This window comes from Homo sapiens, chromosome X (assembly GCF_000001405.40).
Source record: "Homo sapiens chromosome X, GRCh38.p14 Primary Assembly".
Taxonomy (NCBI): Eukaryota; Metazoa; Chordata; class Mammalia; order Primates; family Hominidae; genus Homo; species Homo sapiens.
Genome location: NC_000023.11, coordinates 18,676,269 through 18,694,579, shown reverse-complemented (window position 1 = coordinate 18,694,579; position 18,311 = coordinate 18,676,269). Strand labels below are relative to the sequence as shown.

Genomic DNA, 18,311 nt, shown 5'->3' with positions numbered 1-18,311 from the left:
TTTTTTGTAGGGAGTGGGTTTTGCCACGTTGTTCAGACTGGTCTCTAGGTATCCGCCTGCCTCAGCCTCCCAAAGTATTTGTATTATAGGCGTGAGCCACTGTGCCCAGCTAAAATTTTTTTTTTTAATACAATATCCAGTGCTGGCTAGAATGTGGAGCAACTCGAACTCTAACACTTTGCTGGCAGGAATGCAAAGTGGTACAGTCACTCTGAAAAAGAGTTTGGTACTTTCTTATAAAGTTGAACATACACTTACCATACGACAGCAATCCTACTCCTGGGTAGCTATCCTAGAGAAATAAAATTTTCTATTCATGCAAAAACGTGTATGCAGGTTCATACGGTCAAACATTGAAAACAGCTTAAATGTCCTTCCGTGAGTGTCCCACAAACTGTGGGACATCCATACAATGAAATGCTACTTAGCAATAAAAACAAATGAAGCTGATACACACAACCTGGATGGGTCTCAAAGGCATTATGCTGAGTGGAAGAGGCCATGCTGAAAGGGATACAGACAGTTATATCGCATTCTCAAAAAGACAAAACTATAGTGACAGGGAACTGATCAGTGGTTACCAGGGGTTTATGGGTGAGGGAGGGGAGTGACTACAAAGGGCTAGCAGGAGGGAGTTTTGGGGGGCATGTTCTATATCCTGATGATGATGGTGGTTATGCTAATCTATCCATGTGTTAAAATTCACAGAACTGGCTGGGCGTGGTGGCTCACGCCTGCCATCTCAGCACTTTGGGAGGCCGAAGCGGGTGGATCACCTGAGGTCAGGAGTTCAAGAGCAGCCTGACCAAAACGGTGAAAACGTGTCTCTACTAAAAACACAAAAAATTAGCCAGGCGTGGTGGCAGGCACCTGTAATCCCAGCTACTTGGGAGGCTAAGGCAGGAGAATCCCTTGAACCCGGGAGGCGGAGGTTGCGGTGAGCCAAGGTTGCGCCATTACACTCCAGCCTGGGCAACAAGAGAAAAACTCCGTCTCGAAAAAATAAAAATAAAAAATAAATCACAGAACTGTACTTTAGGTTAGTGCAAAAGTAACTGCGGTTTTTGCAGAGATACGCCCACATACTTACTACTGGAGTCCAGAAAGAAATGAGCTCGACCTGGGAACACCAGGAAATGTTTCGTAGGGCATAAAAGATAGAGAAAGACATTCCAGGGAACATGGGAGTCTGTTATATTTGAGATTAGGGGATACATAGAGTACACAGCAAAGGTTGGGAGCATTAACCTGGGGGAGGTAGGTTGGTGCCACCTGTGTTCTTATAAATCACAACAAAGAATCTGGACTTCAACTTATCAGTCAGGGATTGTCCTTTCAAATGCTTAATGGGCTGGGGCAGATAATACAAATGACTAAAGCAGCCTGGGTGGAAACCATGAGACACTGTAGCGAGTTTTTGTCTAAATGAGGTAGCTGCTACTTACTGGTAGCTCCATCTTCGGCTGCTATCCAGAAATCGCAGCCCAGTGTTGCCTGATGTAATTTTCCAAGAGAAGCTGAAGATAGTTTTATGTACGATCTCCTTATTTTTAAATGTTAGCATGAGTATTTTTCAGCAAATTTATGAAGCCACTGATTACAGGGTACACTGCTGTTTTATGTACCAATAAGAGAGAACACCACTGATCAAACTATGTCACTGTCCATTTCAAGACACATCCCAATATCAGAGCTGCTAAAATGTGAAAAAAAAATGCATCTTAGAATCAACAAAATACAGTCATTCTCATTTTCTCAAAATGCCGTACAGACTGCGTGGATTCCGCTTAAAGCTGCCAGATTGCAAACTCTGTTTAAGTCAAGGGGAGCCTGAGGGTAAGCTGATTAGATTCAAGCTGCAAGATCACTCTGGGGATCAGATGGTGATGAATGGGGAAAAGCAGGTAACAGGAAGACCAATGAGGAGGCTCCTGCAATAATCCAGGAGATAGATGGTAAGGGCTGAATTAAAGTCATGGCAGCGGGGATGAAGGGGAAGAAGGAGCCAAATGTAAAAGGGTTTTATGTAACAAACCCCACAGGTCTCAGACTGGGCATGGAGAGTGAGGGAGACAGAGACATCGAGGAGGATTCCAGGGTTTTTAGTTTGGAAGAATAAATAGATTCATCATTCACTTGACAATATTTACTGGGTGTCTACCATGTGCCAGGCACTATGCTAGGTGCTGTGGTTACAAGGGGTGGACAAGATAGACATGGTTTCTGCCTTCTTATAATTTACAGTCTAAGAGATGATGATATTCATTGCAATAGGGTATTAAAGGGTACAAGAGTCGGACATGAAGGGGGACAAGCGAGTTTATGGTGGAGAAAAATCGTGAGTTCAGTCAGCAGTGTGCTAAATTTCAGTACTTGTGAGACCTCACTGTTGAAATATCCCACAGGCAGGAGAAGCCTGGGTTTGGAGCTCAGGAAATAAATCAGGACCAGAGAGTCAGATTAAATAGGTCATCAGGTTGCTGACAATAGCTGAAGTGATTAGAGAAGATAAAATAGCCAGGGAGAGCTTATAGAGTAAAGCTATAGAGGCAAAAGCAGAACACTGGGGAATAGAGACATTAAAGAGAATGAAAAGAGGAAGGAGCCAACAGGGAGGCTAACAAAGAAGCAATCTGGAAAGTAAGAGGCCAAGGAGTGAGGGCTATCTGTAAAGCAATGGAGACTTGATTACCGTATAGTCCATCTAAACCTGCACCTAGAATTACTGCCTGGAAGCAATTTACCTTTGCCATGTACAATTCAGACTGTCAGAGTTATGGATGTTTTGCATGAATTCCAAATAGGCTTATCAGAACTGCTTCTAATTTAGAAAGCTAGGATATTTTTAAATATTGCCACAATCTGTTTCTTTATCTTGTATGTGCTTACGTTTTACATGTATCTCAGATTGACATCTAGCATGAGTCAATGTAGAGCAATGCTAATTCCTTATTTCTTCTTCTTTTCCTTCTACAGGAGCTACAATCTGCCATTCCAAGAACAAAAGTAAAACAAAGACTACACACTGATGCAACTCCCTCTCATGTTAAAGCACTGGGAATTGGGCAAAACTGATCTAGACAGAGAATGGAGTCACCTTGCAAGACCATCATGAGGTTCTCTGCCCAGAGCTCTGTAACAGGTGAGGCTGAAATGTGGTAAGATACTCTGATCCTTCGGACTTGTCTAGAAAGGTCCTCAGACATCTTCATTTTATAGGAGAGGAAACCACGCCCAGAGAAGTTAGGTGGCCTCCCCAAAGTCACAGTCCTGTGACTCAGTGACCAGCACATCAAGGTGACCCAGTTTCACCCTATACATATATATTAAAGCTTTTAACAAACTTCATACATAAAACATAAAGACCACAAGAGTTGGGCTAAACAACTAAACAGACAGAGGCCACAGGTTAACTTTCGATCATTGTCCCATGCCTACCCGGATCATACTCCATTCACCTGGTCCACTAAGTGCTCTTCTCTTACCTTTCCCTCGAGGTTTGATCAGGTCCACACAGGTTCAAGGGGAACAGACTCCTAGATCTTCACTTTGCTGGTTGTTGACTCTTTCAGCCTGACCTGCGGGCTCAGGACACAATCTATCATCACACAGGTCTTATTGAAGAGGGTTTCCCAGTCTCATTTGTAATCTTCAAGAGGTAGATTCTAGAATGATTAATAGGTTGCCTTGGTGACCTCACAATGTAGGATGCAGATATGACAATACCTGCCAATGGAATGTGGACGACATGACCTGGATGAGAGGACTATTTCTTGCTTATTGAAAGGCAGATTCCAGCTTTCTTTTTGTCACCATTGCCTCCTTATCAACTATTTTTGTGTTCATGAACATGGTAAACAAAGAAAAGTTTGTTTCTTGGAGGAATGTTGATAAAACAAGGCCTGGGCCAGGCACGATGGCTCATGCCTGTAATCCCAGCACTTTGGGAGGCCAAGGCGGGTAGATCACCTGAGGTCAGAAGTTCAAGACCAGCCTGGCCAACATGGTGAAACCCTGTCTCTACTAAAAACAAAAATTAGCTGGGCATGGTGGCGGGCACCTGTAATCCCAGCTACTCAGGAGGCTGAGGCAGGAAAATCACTTGAACTCGGGAGGTGGAGGTTGCAGTGAGCTGAGACAGTGCCACTGCACTCCAGCCTGGGTGACAGAGTAAGACTCTGTTCCACGCCTGCCCCCCGCCAAAAAAAAAAAAAAAAAAAACAAGTCCTAGAAAATATCCAGGGCTTTCTTTTCAAAACCCTCACTATTACTGCCTCAAATGCCTAAAAGTTCACGGAGAAGCCTTTGGAAAACATTTTCAGAGCATTTTCTTTTGTGCACTTATTCCTGGCTTGGTTTCATTCATATATTCATTAAATAAATATTTGTTGAGCATCTATTATGTGCCGGGTACTGTTCTACACCCTGGGGATATACCAGTTAGCAAAACTGGTAAGGTCTCTTCCCTCCTAAAGCTTATAGGCTAGTAGGAGAAGTAAACATGAATCAAATAATCATAAATGTGAAATTGCAAAGGACAAGTATTCATTTTATGAGAGTGAGGTGGGGGGTCGAGCAAAGCCTTCTCTGAGGAAGTCATCTTTGACCTGACAGTGGAAGGTTGAATGTGGATTAATTAGGTGAAGGTGTTGATGGGGGATGGAGTCAAGCATACAGTTGAGCTAAGGCTCGTGACCCGGAGTAGCTAACTGGAGACTAGGATTGGGAGACTTTCAAAGGAGAATCCAGGATTCAATATAGGTCTAATTTACTAAAGCCGAAGCTCTTATTTTCACCAAAATTTAAAGGGTGCACAATCTGTCAGTCTTACAACTCATTTGCGTAAAACTCTAAAACAGCACTTCTCAAACTTTAATGCACTTACAAGTCACCTAGGGATCTTGTCAAAACACAGATTCCCGGGCCCAATCACTGCTGAATCCCAATCTGATTTAGTAGGTCTGGGGTGGGGCTGTGAAGCTGCATTTCTAATAAGCTCCCAGGTGACAGTGAAGCATACTTTGAGGGGCACTGCTCTATAACACAGTACTCTTTTTATTTATTTATTTTTATTTGTTTGAGACAGGGTCTCACTCTGTCGAGAGTGAGCTATGATCGCGCCCAGGCTGGAGTGCAGTGGCGCGATCATAGCTCACTGTAGCCTCCACCTCCCGGGCTCAAGTCATCCTCCTCACTCAACCTCCCAAGTAGCTGGGACTACAGGTGCCCGCCACCACACTCGGCTAATTTTTTATTTTTTACAGAGATGGCGTTTCACCATCTTGCCCAGGCTGGTCTCAAATTCTTGGGCTCCCAAAGCACTGGAATTACAGGCGTGAGCCACCACACCTGGCCTCATTCATAGCTTTTGGAGTGTAAACCAAAAGAAAAATTTTAATCCCCGCCCAACCATTGGAATGGACTTCTTCCTAGGCCAGGGCACTTTAAAATTTAACCTGAAAGACTGCTTCAGGCCATGACGAGAAGCAGAGGTCCAACATGCCTCATTATACCTCTCCGGTATTAATATAAACACAGACCTTAGGACGGATAAGAAACATTTACAATCTGTCCTCTCTGAAGCCTGCTACCTGAAGGCTTCATCTATCTGCACAATAAGAACTTTGGTCTCCACAGTCCCTTAACCCAGACATCTCCTTTCTACTGATCCCAGGTCTTTGGATAAACTCAACCAACTGTCAACTAGAACATTTTTCAATCTACCTATAACCCGGAAGCCACGCCCCTCCTCCCCCTTGCTTCGAGTTGTCCTGCCTTTCTGAACTGAACCAATGTATTTCTTAAATGTATTTGATTGAATTCTCATGTCTCCCTAAAATGTATTAATTCTACAATTAATTTTTATGGTTTACTCAGTAGTAAGACCAAAACAAAAGAATGTTGTGATATGTAAATAAAGCAATGCCAAAAGCTAAAGATTTCAAAGACTTGGAAAGAACGAGAGAAATAATAATCATAAGCAAACTGACGTGTCAGTAATGTAGTGAAACTTCTCTAATTTATCCCAGTGAAGTGGGCTGTCAATTCTTACTCAGTGACAAGTTCAATTTATGAAATAGTTTTAAAGAAAAGTAACAAATTAATCTGATGTAACTAATGAGAAGCAATGTCTACATGTTTAATAACTCTTTAACAGGTCAATAAGAGCTATTTGTAACTAACACTTTCATTTTCTGACGGAAGCTCTGGATTTTATATGATGTGAGAGAAAAACCACCTCCCTTTCCAGGCCTCCATTACTTACTTCTGTCACAGTTCCCACTGATGTGGCACATTCCTCCTGGTGGCCTATGTGAAAACAAGTAGGCGAGAGAGCCAAGATTTCTCTGGTTTGGTTTTCGTGAGAAGGTTATGAAGTTAATATAGGGCCTAAAGTGAAATATTGCCATTTAAAAAAACTAGAAATGAACTCCTCTGTGCAGAGAAGAACAGGAAGATTAAGAAAGGGAAACTGGAGTAAGTTTTTATAATTTTGAGGAAATATCAGCTCTGCCACTTTCAACCTGGGGATCTTAGGCAACTTACATAACTCCTCTAAACCTCAGTTTCCTCATTTTAAAAATGAGAATAGGCCGGGCGCTGTAGCTCACACCTGTAATCCCAGCTCTTTGGGAGGCCAAGGCAGGTGGATCACTTGAGGTCTGAAGTTCGAGACCAGCCTGGACAACATGGTAAAGCCCCGTCTCTACTAAAAATACAAAAATTAGCCAGGCATGGTGGTGTGCGCCTATAGTCCCGGCTACTCCGGAGGCTGAGGCACGAGAATCACTTGAACCTGGGAGGTGGAGGTTGCAGTGAGCTGAGATCGTGCCACTGCACTCCAGCCTGGGCAACAGAGTGAGACTCTGTCTCAAAAAAAAAAAAAAAAAAAAAGAAGAATATTTAAAGAGAATAATTTAAGTGGCAATCTCTTTGTAAACTATAAAGTGCTAAACAAGTATTAGCTACCATTTCCAGGAGAGGCCTGCATTTCCCAAGTGGATATACATCCTAGAGAAGAAATGTGGTCTGGCCAGTGGGTCAGGATGTGTCTAGGGACATAATAGAATTAGATTCTAGAGTCAGCTTGCTTGGGTTCAAGTTCTTGCTCAACCACTTAACAGCTCTGTGTGAGCTTGGGCAAATTACATAACCTCTCTGTGCCTATTGCTTCAACTATAAAACGAGGCTACAGATAGCACCAATCACACTGGGTTGACGTAACGAATGAATGGGTTAACACACATTGTAGCAGCCACTGATCATTACTGTCCATTCTCCCCCTGTTCCTTACTAATAAAACCCCCGTTTTGTTCTAGGTGGCAGTGTTCGGGCAACAAAACTTGATTTGCTAGGCTCCCTTGCAACTATGGGTAGTCATGTGACACAGTTCTAGCCCTTGAGATACAAGCAGAAATCTATGGGCTGAGGCTTCCAGAAAAGCTATTTTCCTGATAAAAAGGAAAAGACTCAGCTGGCATAAGCCTCTTCTCTTTTGTCCTTCCCCCTATTCTGCCTGGAACCAGGACACAATGCCTGGAGGAGGAGCAGCCATCTCATGCACACTAGGAAGAAAGCCTCACACTGAGAATAGCGAAACCATGATGCAGGATGGATGCAGGATGGAGGGACGAGCTTGAGACCTGGATGACAATGTGACACTGTATATCTCCTGGCTTCGTATCATGTGGGACGAAAACCAAGCGCTCTGTGTTAAGCCCCTGGTGTTCTATTTACCTTATTTCAGGCAGCCAAACACATTCTCTAACCAATACAACTATAAAGCAGCTTGGTGCCTGGCTCATAGTATTCAATAAATGTTAGCTATTATTATTATCATTAGGCCAGCATTCTGTTCCCTAACCAGGTGGCTAGCAAATAGTCCCCTAACTTCCTTGTAATAGAATCACAATTTTCCTTTTCGAAATCACCCCCGCTTCCTGTTTTTTAGCCAAGTGATTTGCATGGGACTGACGCAGCCCCCAACTCTAAGCGCGGGCCCTGGTTGACTTAAGCCAATTATCCGAGCCCACTCCCCAAGCAACAGCAACTTTTCAGGAACAAGCACATAATTCAGGCCTAAGACAGCATATCCTCTTCTCCTGGCAAAAAGGAGTGTTTGGGGTGGGCGTATAGCTAAAGAAAGATATTATGAGTGAATCTCGGGGTACCTGGAGAGAGTGCTGGGACAGACTCACTTATCTCCCCCTAGTGTGGTGCTCTGAGCAAGGTTTCACCATGAGAAGAGCCAGTCCAGGGGGTGAAATTGATACATGGGGAAGGGCCAACCAAAAGGCAGGGAAATGGAGCCGGAGCCCTCCATCCTTAGTCTCTGGATCAAATCTTACCTTCGGAAGTTTCAAACCAGATTCGTTTGAAACTGGTTTTGCTCAGTTTGGGTCGGATCTTCTGCCACAGGCAACTACAAGATTCTTTCTGATACTGTTAGAAGAAAAAAATAATAATTTTACTGTAAGGACTACATGCCTACAGGGGAACTTTCCAAATCCTGGTGTAGTGCTTCTATTCAGTAAAATCTATAATCCAGCACCATATAAGTTCACATCACAATCACCTTTTTAAAAGAAAAAATGACAATAAGATTCACAATCAATTTTCAGTTGTGTGAATTCATTCAAATTTCTCTTCTGAAAGAAAAAAAAAGTCAGCCAGTTGAAAGTGTTTTGTTTTTGTTCTTTTTGTAAACACGTCCAGGAGAGGTCCATTAAGAATAAATTTGTATCCAGGCTTTAGAAGAACGCTGAGCCCAGAAGCAGACGCTAGAAATGTATGACTAATATTGAAATAATATTCACAGACAGTTGTCATGGCAGCCTACTCCGTCTGCACAAAATAGAACCCACTGCTTTTTTTTCTTTTTTTTTTTTTTTTTTTGAGATGGAGTCTCGCTCTTTCACCCAGGCTGGAGTGCAGTGGCGAGATCTCGGCTCACTGCAAGCCCCGCCTCCCGGGTTCACGCCATCCTCCTGCCTCAGCCCCTCAAGTAGCTGGGACTACAGGCACCCGCCACCGCGGCCGGCTAATTTTTTGTATTTTTAGTAGAGATGGGGTTTCACCGTGTTAGCCAGGATGGTCTCGATCTCCTGACCTCGTGATCCACCCTCCTCGGCCTCCCAAAGTGCTGGGATTACAGGCGTGAGCCACCGTGCCTGGCAGAACCCACTGCATCTTAACAGGATTTAGCAGAGGAAAACTGCTAGCATGCAGATAGCCTCTAAATGAATTAAACAACCTACTAATTGGTTTTGCTTTTATTACTGTAGATGGCCTTAGGACTCTACCCAAATTGTATCCAAAAGATCCCCAATTCTTGAAATCATTAGTAAAAATACACAATATGACTGGAGTTTAACACCTGCACCACACTTGAAATCTTTCCCTCAGACTGTGCAGAAAGCTTAGAGGCAAGTCTTATTGCGTGCCCAGTTGAATCCATGTGGAAACAAATCAGGCAGTAAGTGTTGTGGGAGTCGAGGGAGTAACCCATTCCATTTCCATCACCAATTAGCACTGGCTGCTATCAGGTGTTGCCTTTTAAATGGGACTCTAGAGGAGTGGGCAGTAGTAGTCAAATTGTTCTGTGTTCAGTTACCTAGTCACAGGGGAGTGACTTTAGAAACTAGGCACATCTCTGCCGGGTGTGGTGGCTCAGGCCTGTAATCCCAGCACTTTGGGAGGCCAAGGCAGGCAGATCACCTGATGTCAGGAGTTCAAGATCAGCCTGGGCAGCATGGTGAAAATCCATCCCTACTAATAATACAAAAATCAGCAAGGCGTGGTGGCGGATACCTGGAATCCCAGCTACTTGGGAAGCTGAGGCAGGAGAATCGCTTGAACCCGGGAGGTGGAGGTTGCAGTGAGCCAAGATTGTGCCACTGCACTCCAGCCTGGGCGACAGAGTGAGACTCTGCCTCAAATTAAAAAAAAAAAAAAAAGAGAGAGAGAAAAAGATACTAGACACATCCCAAGATAGGTTAAGTAAGAGAGGGGGAGACAAAACATTCTAAGCTCATCTGTTTCTCTCTCGAGTGGCCATCTCTAGGAAATGTAATCTCACTGAAAGTGATCGTGGGTGATTGTGAAGGTTATAGATAGCTGGTCTGGAGAGGTATACCATGTGAGGCCTTCTTTCCTATTAGACAGGTTTTTGCTTATCACCCTGCCTATCCCTCATCAGCCTTCTCTTTTGTCAAGTTTCTTCTTTAAGAGAAAGGAGACCGGGCCCAAATTCAGATCTAGTAACATCCTACATTAGGAAAACCACATCAAGCCACTATCTTCCATTAACATACTGGAACAAATGAGTCCTTTGGGTTAACTCATGTTCTTCAGACTTCTTGAGATGAGGCCATGTCATATACTTTTTTTAAAAAAGCTCCCGCACTACCCAACACTGTGTTCCCAGACATATTGCAGGCATGTGATAATGAACAACTTCCATCAAGGGACTGGAACACAGGGCAAGCCCTTGGTAGCTGGGGGACAAATTAAAGACATTGTCAAAATGGTACAGGAGAGAGCTACGGGTGAGCTATGTGCAAAGGTTCAATCAGTAGGATCTGTATTTTTCCTCATATAACTGAAACTTCTACTAAACAGTAGCATTAAAAATGAGGGATTTTATTATTCATTTCACAAGGAATCTGGAGTAGGGAATCTGGGGCTGGGACCCAGGCACCTTCCTTCTTTAGGCCAAGCCATGCAGCTTTCTTCTTCCCAATTGTCAACTCATGGGTGCAAAATAGTAATCACGACAGAAAGTGATGCCCTCCTTCTAGCACCACACTCACGTTCCAGGCAGAAAGAGATGAACTATGGGCAAAAGGGGGGATACCAAATGGGTCTACCTCCTTTCAAGGAAATGAAGCTGTTTTAGCCAGACACATCACCAAAGCAAACAAAATCAGGCACTATAGTGCAGAGGCTAAGCACAGCCCACGGAGCCAGATGGTCTGGGCTTAGAACCTTGCTTCTTTATGTCACTGTGTGACTTGGTCAAGTTACCAACTTACTCTGTGCCTCGATTTCCTCACCTGCAAACTATGATAATAGTACAGGGTTCTCATGAGGATTCAATGAGTTAATACGAGTGAAGCACTTAGAATAGTCCCTAATACACAGCAAGCACTGTACAACTGTGCGTTTTTACTTGTCTTATTGAGGAAAAGAGGAACGGATATTCCTCTTTTCCTCAATATCTGCTAGTAGATAAGCAACTAGCACTATCTGACACAGACATGTTGCCCACTGTATAATTGTACCTGGCCTGGTTACTGTGCCACACGTGAGCAAGCGCCCTGCTGTACATGAGAACTACTGGCTCCCCAGCAGACAGGGAAACCACAACCCAGGTGATACGGTTTGGCTGTGCTGCAACCCAAATCTCATCTTGAATTGTAGCTCCCACAATTCCCACGTGTCGTGGGAGGGACCCGGAGGGGAGGCAATCGAATCATGGGGCAGGTCTTTCCCATGCTGTTCTCATGAGAGTGAATAAGTCTCATGAGATCTGATGGTTTTGGCTTCCCCTTTTGCCTGGCTCTCATTTCTCTCTTGCCTGCCAGCATGTAAGACGTCCCTTTGCTCCTCCTTCATCCTCCGCCATGATTGTGAGGCCTCCTCAGCCACTGGAACTGTGAGTCCACTAAACCTCTTTCCTTTATAAATTGCCCAGTCTGGGGTTTGTCTTTATTAGCAGCGTGAGAACAGATTAATACACCTACCCTACCAGAAGCGGCCATTCCCATAACTGTCAGCCTCATCCCCACTTACTGGGGACTGAGAACAACCAAAACTTTCAGGCATCCGAGCCAGGGCACCACCGTTAGCCACTGTGCCAACGCTCATCCATTTGAGACACAGATCATTAGGACTCTTTCCATTGCAAGTGTCAGTAAGCCCATTCCAGCTGGCTTAAGCAAAGCTAGGAATGGTTTCCTCAAATAACTGAAGAGTCAATGGTATATGCATGACTGGGGCCGGGGCGTAAGTCATGGCACCCAGCTGCTCTATTGCTCAGCTGGGATCCCTTGGTGTCCGCTCCATCCTCAGGTCTCCAGCAGGTCGTGGACGTCTTTCATGCTTCATGGTCATTCACTAACTTCTGAACCTCCTCCCTATGTCTTGGTAATTCCTCCTGTTTGACTCCTAACTCGCCAAAGTAGAAACAAGAAATTTGCTTTTCCAGCCTCTTTGATAGCAAGAGCACAGGCAGGTAAACTCAGCTCTGCCAGCGACTTCAATCCAGAAGAGGGCAACCTGAAGACGTGGAGGGCTCCCAAAGGCCATCTACTGCCAAGGTTAGTGGCAGAGGTGTCCAGTTTCCAGAGACAGCAGTGGTCAAGATTCTGGGCTCCAACACTGGTGTGACTTACTAAATATGTACTCAGAGGAGGCAGCAGTGCGCACCTGCGCTGGTGCAGTCCCTCAGTGAGATTTGGACATCATTCCTGGCTTTGGAGTCACCGAGGCCTTCTTGGAGATCCTGTGAGCCATCTGGTGTCCTTTAATAAACTCCTTTTCCTCTTAAACTTGTGGGAGTGTTGAAGCCGCTTAGGTGGTGTTATGCTTTCGTAACAACCCCAAACGTTAGTGGCTTACAATGATAAAGGTTTGTTTTGCACTCCAGTTCCGCGGACAGTGCAGATGGGCTGCAGTTATGTAACATGGAGCCTTCCCTCTGAAACTCAGGCCAACCTGTCTATGGGGCATTGCTGTTCTTCTTGCAGCAAAGGGGAAGGACAGAAGCAGCCACCACACTGGCTCTTACACTTTTGCTTGGAAGTGATACTCATCACTTCTGCTCACATTCAACTGGGCAAAGCAAAGCCACCTGGGCAAGTCTATCGGGGGACCATGGTGTCAAAATCCTACATGGGGAAGAAAAGTGAATATTTTGAACAAGAGGATTCTGTTGTATGCAACCAAGAGCCCTAATATAACGCAATAGTAAGATGGCAGCAGAAGTGCCAGCCTCTACATCATCTCACGTTCAAGTCCAGGGTGAATTAGGAAACGTCTCTGCTCAAGAAGTCAAGCAAAAATCCAGGATTAGCTCTTACTGGAACTCATTGCCCTGGCTTGAGTCACCCTCAACACTGACACATTGTTTTCAAGACATATTCACTGAGCACTTACTATATGCTGGAAACTATTTAGACTCTGCGTAATACAACAGAGAATGAAGCCAAATCCATGCCCTCATGGATCTTTCATTCCAGTCGAGGATGGTGGGGACAATCAACAAAATAAATTAGTAAATATGTAGAAATTTAGTGCTGCAGGCCAGGCGCAGTGACTCACGCCTGTAATCCCAGCACTTTGGGAGGCCAAGGTGGGCGGATCACGAGGTCAAGAGATCAAGACCATCCTGGCCAACATGGTGAAATCCCATCTCTATTACCATTTGACCCAGCCATCCCATTACTGGGTATATACCCAAAGGATTACAAATCATGCTGCTATAAAGACACATGCACACGTATGTTTATTGTGGCACTATTCACAATAGCAAAGACTTGGAACCAACCCAAATGTCCAACAACGATAGACTGGATTAAGAAAATGTGGCACATATACACCATAGAATACTATGCAGCCATAAAAAATGATGAGTTCATGTCCTTTGTAGGGACATGGATGAAACTGGAAACCATCATTCTCAGCAAACTATCGCAAGGACAAAAAACCAAACACTGCATGTTTTCACTCATAAGTGGGAATTGAACAATGAGAACACATGGACACAGGAAGGGGAACATCACACACCGGGAACTCTTGTGGGGTGGGGGGAGGGGGAGGGATAGCATTAGGAGATATACCCAATGCTAAACGACGAGTTAATGGGTGCATCACACCAACATGGCACACGTATACATATGTAACAAACCTGCACGTTGTGCACATGTACCCTGAAACTTAAAGTATAATAATAATAAAATTTAAAAATATTTATATATATAAATTAGCTGGGCGTGGTGGCAGGTGCCTATAGTCCCAGCTACTCGGGATGCTGAGGCAGGAGAATCATTTGAACCCAGGAGGCGGAGGTTGCAGTGAACCGAGATCACGCCATTGCACTCCAGCCTGGGCGACAGAGCGAGATGCCGTATCAAAAAAAAAAAAAAAAAGAGAAGAAATTTAGTGCTGCAGAGAAAAATAAGCAGGAAAGGGGGGCAGTGAGTCTCTAGCATGAATGGAAAAGAATAATAGCAATTTTCAGTAGACAGTCAGGAAAGGCCTCACTGAGAAGATATCTGGGTATGACCCGAGCAAGGTGAGAGAACAAGCAACAGCGTGATCTAAGGAAAAACTATTCGAGGCTGAGAGCAGCAGCAGCAGCAGCAGCAGCAGCAAAGGCCCCGAGGCAGGAGAGGCCTAGTGTAACTGAAGGGCAGCAAGCAGGCCGGTGTGGCTGGAGTGCAGTCAAAGCAAAGGCAAAGTTATAGGATTTTTTTTTTTTTTTTTTTTGAGGACAGGGTCTTGCTCTGTGACCCAGGCTGGGGTGTAATGGCACAGTCACGGCTCACTGCAACCTCCGCCTCCCAGGCTCAAGCGATCCTCCCATCTTAGCCTCCCAAGTAGCTGGGATTACACGTGCATGCCACCATACCTGGCTAATTTTTGTATATTTAGTAGAGACGGGATTTCATCATGCTGGCCAGACTGGTCTCAAACTCCTGGCCTCAAGTGTCTGCCCACCTTGGCCTCCAAAGTGCTGGGATTACAAGCATGATCAACTGTGCTTGGCCAGTAAGAGGATTTATAACCAGAGAGGCACAAGCCTTGTAGGCCACTGTAAGGCTTCAGCTTTTCTAGTTGAGGTAGGGAGCCATTGAAGGGTTTTGCACAGAATGATGAGAGCTAATCTGAATCTTGAAAGGACCACTCTGGCTACTGTGTGGAGAATAGTCTGTAGGGGGGAAAGGGCAGAAGCTGAAAGGCCAAGATCTGAGGCTACTGGCTATGATCCAGGCAAAATGTGATAGTGGCTTTGATTAGAGTGTAGCTGGGGAGATGACAGAAAGCTAGCATAGATAGATCTTGCAGGTGGTGCCAATAAGCTTTGCTAGTAAGATTACACTGGGGGTGTAAGAAAAAGAAGAATCAAGTATGATTCTTAGTTTTAGGCCTAAATAGCTGGAAAGATGAAGCTGCCATTATCTGCGATAAAGAAAACAGAGGCCAGGCACGGTGGCTCACGCCTGTAATCCCAACACTTTGAGAGACCGAGGTGGGTGAATCACTTGAGGCCAGGAGTTTAAGAACAGCCTGGCCAAAACAGCAAAAGCCCATCTCTACTAAAAATACAGAAAAAAATCAGCCGGATGTGGTGGCGCACGCCTGTGATCCCAAGTACTCGGGAGGCTGAGGCACGAGAATTGTTTGAACCCAGGAGGTGGAGGTTGCAGTGAGCTAAGATGGCGCTGCTGCACTCCAGCCTGGGTGACAGAGCAAAACTGTCTCCAAAAAAGAAAAACAGATCAAGAGAGAAGCGGATTTAGGGGCAGAGATCAGAAGCGTGGACACAGACATGTGAGATGCCTAACCTAACAGACATCTAAATGGAGATGTTGAACATGTAGGTCTGGAGTTTGAGAGAAAAGTCTAGACTAGAGATACACACTGGAATCTTCTAGGTTCTCAAGGGTATTGAAAGCCATTAGATTGAATGAGGTCGCTGGGGTGGTGAGAACAAATAGAGAAGTCCAAGCACCGAGACCTCTGAGGTACGGCTGTGTTTAAAGGTCAAAGAGATGAGGCTCCAGCAAAAGTGACCAAAAAGGAGTATGCAGTGAGAGGAAATAAACATCGCGAGAGGTCCGCATCCTAAAAGCCGAGGGGAAGGTACCTCAAAACAGAGTGATGGGTTGTTTTCAATGCTGCTAGTAGATCAAATCTGATGAAAAGGAAGAGCTATTCTGTGTAGCAATGTGGAAATCACTGGATCAGAGGAATTTTGGTGGAGTGCTGGAACAAGTCCCAGTGGGGGGACAGAACTGGAGAGAGCACCAGACCAATCTAAGAACTGTATTATAAAGGAGAGCAGAGACATGGAAGTGGCACAGGTGGAAGTGGAATTAAGAGCTTTTTTCCTGTTTTTTTGCTTTTGTTTTCGTTTTTGAGACGGGGTCTCACTCTGTCGCCCAGGCTGGAGTGCAGTGATGCGATCTCAGCTTGTTGCAGCCTCGACCTCCCCAGGCTCAAGGGATCCTCCCTGCCTCAGTCCTCCAGAGTAACTGGGACTACAGGTGTGCGCCACCATGCCTGGCTAAGTTTTTTGTATTTTTTTATAGAGATGGGGTTTTGCCATGTTGGCCAGCCTGGTCTTGAACTCCTGAGCTCAAGCAATCCGCCCGCCTCAGCTTCCCGAAGTGCTGGGATTATAAGCGTGAGCCATCGCACCCGGCTTTTTTTTTTTTTTTTTTTTTGCCAGGTTCTCACTCTGTCACCCAGGCTGGAGTGCAGCGGTGCAATCATGGCTCACGACAGCCTCGACCTCCTGAGCTCAAGGGATTCTGCCCGCCTCACTCCCCCAGAGTAGCTGGCACCACAGGATGTTTGGCAGCGCCCCGGCCTCTCCCTCCTGGGTGCCTATAGTACCCCTCTCCCAGTCATAACCAACAAAAGCGTCTCCAGATATTGCCAAAGAACTCCCAAGATTTTGTCCCCCAGGGGACATTTTGGGTCATCACAACTGGGTGGTGGGGGAGGATGTGTGCTACACGCATCCAGTGAATAGAGGCCAGGGATGCTGCAAAACATCCTACAATACACGGGACAGCCTCCTACGACAGAGTTAGCCAGTCCCAACCCATCCTGATCCAGAGGAAGAGCACGAGAGCAGACGGTGGCTGGCAGGGGACTTCCAGAAGTTCTCTTCTGATTGCTTCCATTTTTTCACCGCAATAGGAAGCTAGATCATCAGCTGTAACCGAGATTAGGGTTGGGGGTACAGGAGGTTTACGGAGATAAGACATGAAACCGTCCTTAGAAGTGGACACGTATTCTGGACTGCAGAAAGGGTTCACTTGAGCTAAGCAGTCATGAATTTAGTGTGAAACCAGTCAGCTTGGATGTGTTCTTCTTGGGCCATGTTCAGGGGCAGGGTAGGGAGACAGTCAGATGTAAGAGATTGTGGTTTTACCAACAAGCACAAGGAAGAAATGAAAGGGCAAACAAGCAAGTGATAAAAATGACCACAGAATTTGAGCTGGGTGGGGCCGGGCGCGGTGGCTTACGCCTGCAATCCCAACACTTCAGGAGGCCGAGGTGGGCGGATCACTTGAGGCCAGGAGTTTGAGATCAACCTGGCCAACATGGTGAAACCCCATTTCTACTAAAAATACAAAAAGTAGGCCAGGTATGGTGGGGGGGCGCCTGTAATCCCAGCTACTTGGGTGGCTGAGGCAGGAGAATTGCTCGAACGGGAGGCAGAGGTTGCAGTGAGCTGAGATCGTGCCACTGCACTCCGGCCTGGGCAACAGAGCGAGACTCCGTCTTAAAAAAAAAAAAAAAAAAAAAGATTGTGATGACACCTTGCGAGGGGCGGCGGGGAGAACAGAACACAGTTTCCCTCCTGGAATGGAGAAAAGGAACAAGAGTTTTTCACCAAAGGCAGATACCTGTGTCGCATGCAACAGAGGGACACCAGCTTCTTTTCTGCACAGAGGTTAAGCATGCAACAGAGGGACACCAGCTTCTTTTCTGCACAGAGGTTAAGTGTGGGAACTTGGCAAACATACCTTTATACCCAGGGGCAGACAGAAAAATCGGGATGTGGGGGGCTGGAGAGCAAAGCATTTCCTAGAGACACCATCCAAAACACAACCAGTGGGTGTAACTTTAGGGCCAGTTCCTGGCAGTCTTGTTTTCGACCGCTAGGGGTTTGGAAACAGGTGGGATACACTTATTATCAGGCTTCCCAGGAGTCCTGAGGCTCACTGACTAGTGGGAAACGTGGAGCTCTCAGGAACGTATCCTCCGGCCGGTGGCTGGCCACTCTGGTCATCTCGTGGCCCACAATCTAGGCATCAAGCGCTCGAGAGGCCTCTGAAAACGTCTCACCAAAAAAGCAGACTAGAAGGGGGCCCCATGATGAATATGACAGGGAGCTAACTGAGGACATCGGGAAACGGGTACTAGAAAAACCCACGCCACTAGCTGGCCTGCCTCTACTTCTGGGCGGGGGGCGGGGGTGTGTGTGTGGGGGGGATTACATGGCAGATAACTGCCTCCGTTTTCCTACGTGGAAGATGGGCATAACATTGAGACCCAGAGGTGAAAGGGGA

The 18,311-nt window shown here is 45.7% G+C and overlaps 1 protein-coding gene and 1 long non-coding RNA gene across 12 annotated transcripts in view; one reads left to right on the top strand and one right to left on the bottom strand.

Annotated features, from left to right (window-relative positions):
- PPEF1 (protein phosphatase with EF-hand domain 1) overlaps positions 1–18,311 on the bottom strand; it is a 152,851-nt gene that overhangs the window by 133,338 nt on the left and 1,202 nt on the right. For 3 of the 11 annotated variants that reach the window (NM_006240.4, NM_152226.2, NM_152224.2), the window contains exon 1: positions 3,486–3,617. The gene's annotated coding sequence lies outside the window, so the exon portion shown is untranslated. Of the gene's footprint in view, positions 1–3,485; positions 3,727–8,348; positions 8,443–8,575; positions 8,649–11,738; positions 12,891–18,311 lie in introns of those variants that run through there. The other 8 variants (XM_047442195.1, XM_047442192.1, XM_047442193.1 and 5 more) reach the window with 6 other exon arrangements.
- Positions 1,893–5,937, top strand: PPEF1-AS1 (PPEF1 antisense RNA 1). The gene is made up of 3 exons (NR_046642.1): positions 1,893–1,955; positions 2,977–3,142; positions 5,675–5,937. It is a non-coding gene; the product is annotated as a PPEF1 antisense RNA 1 (long non-coding RNA).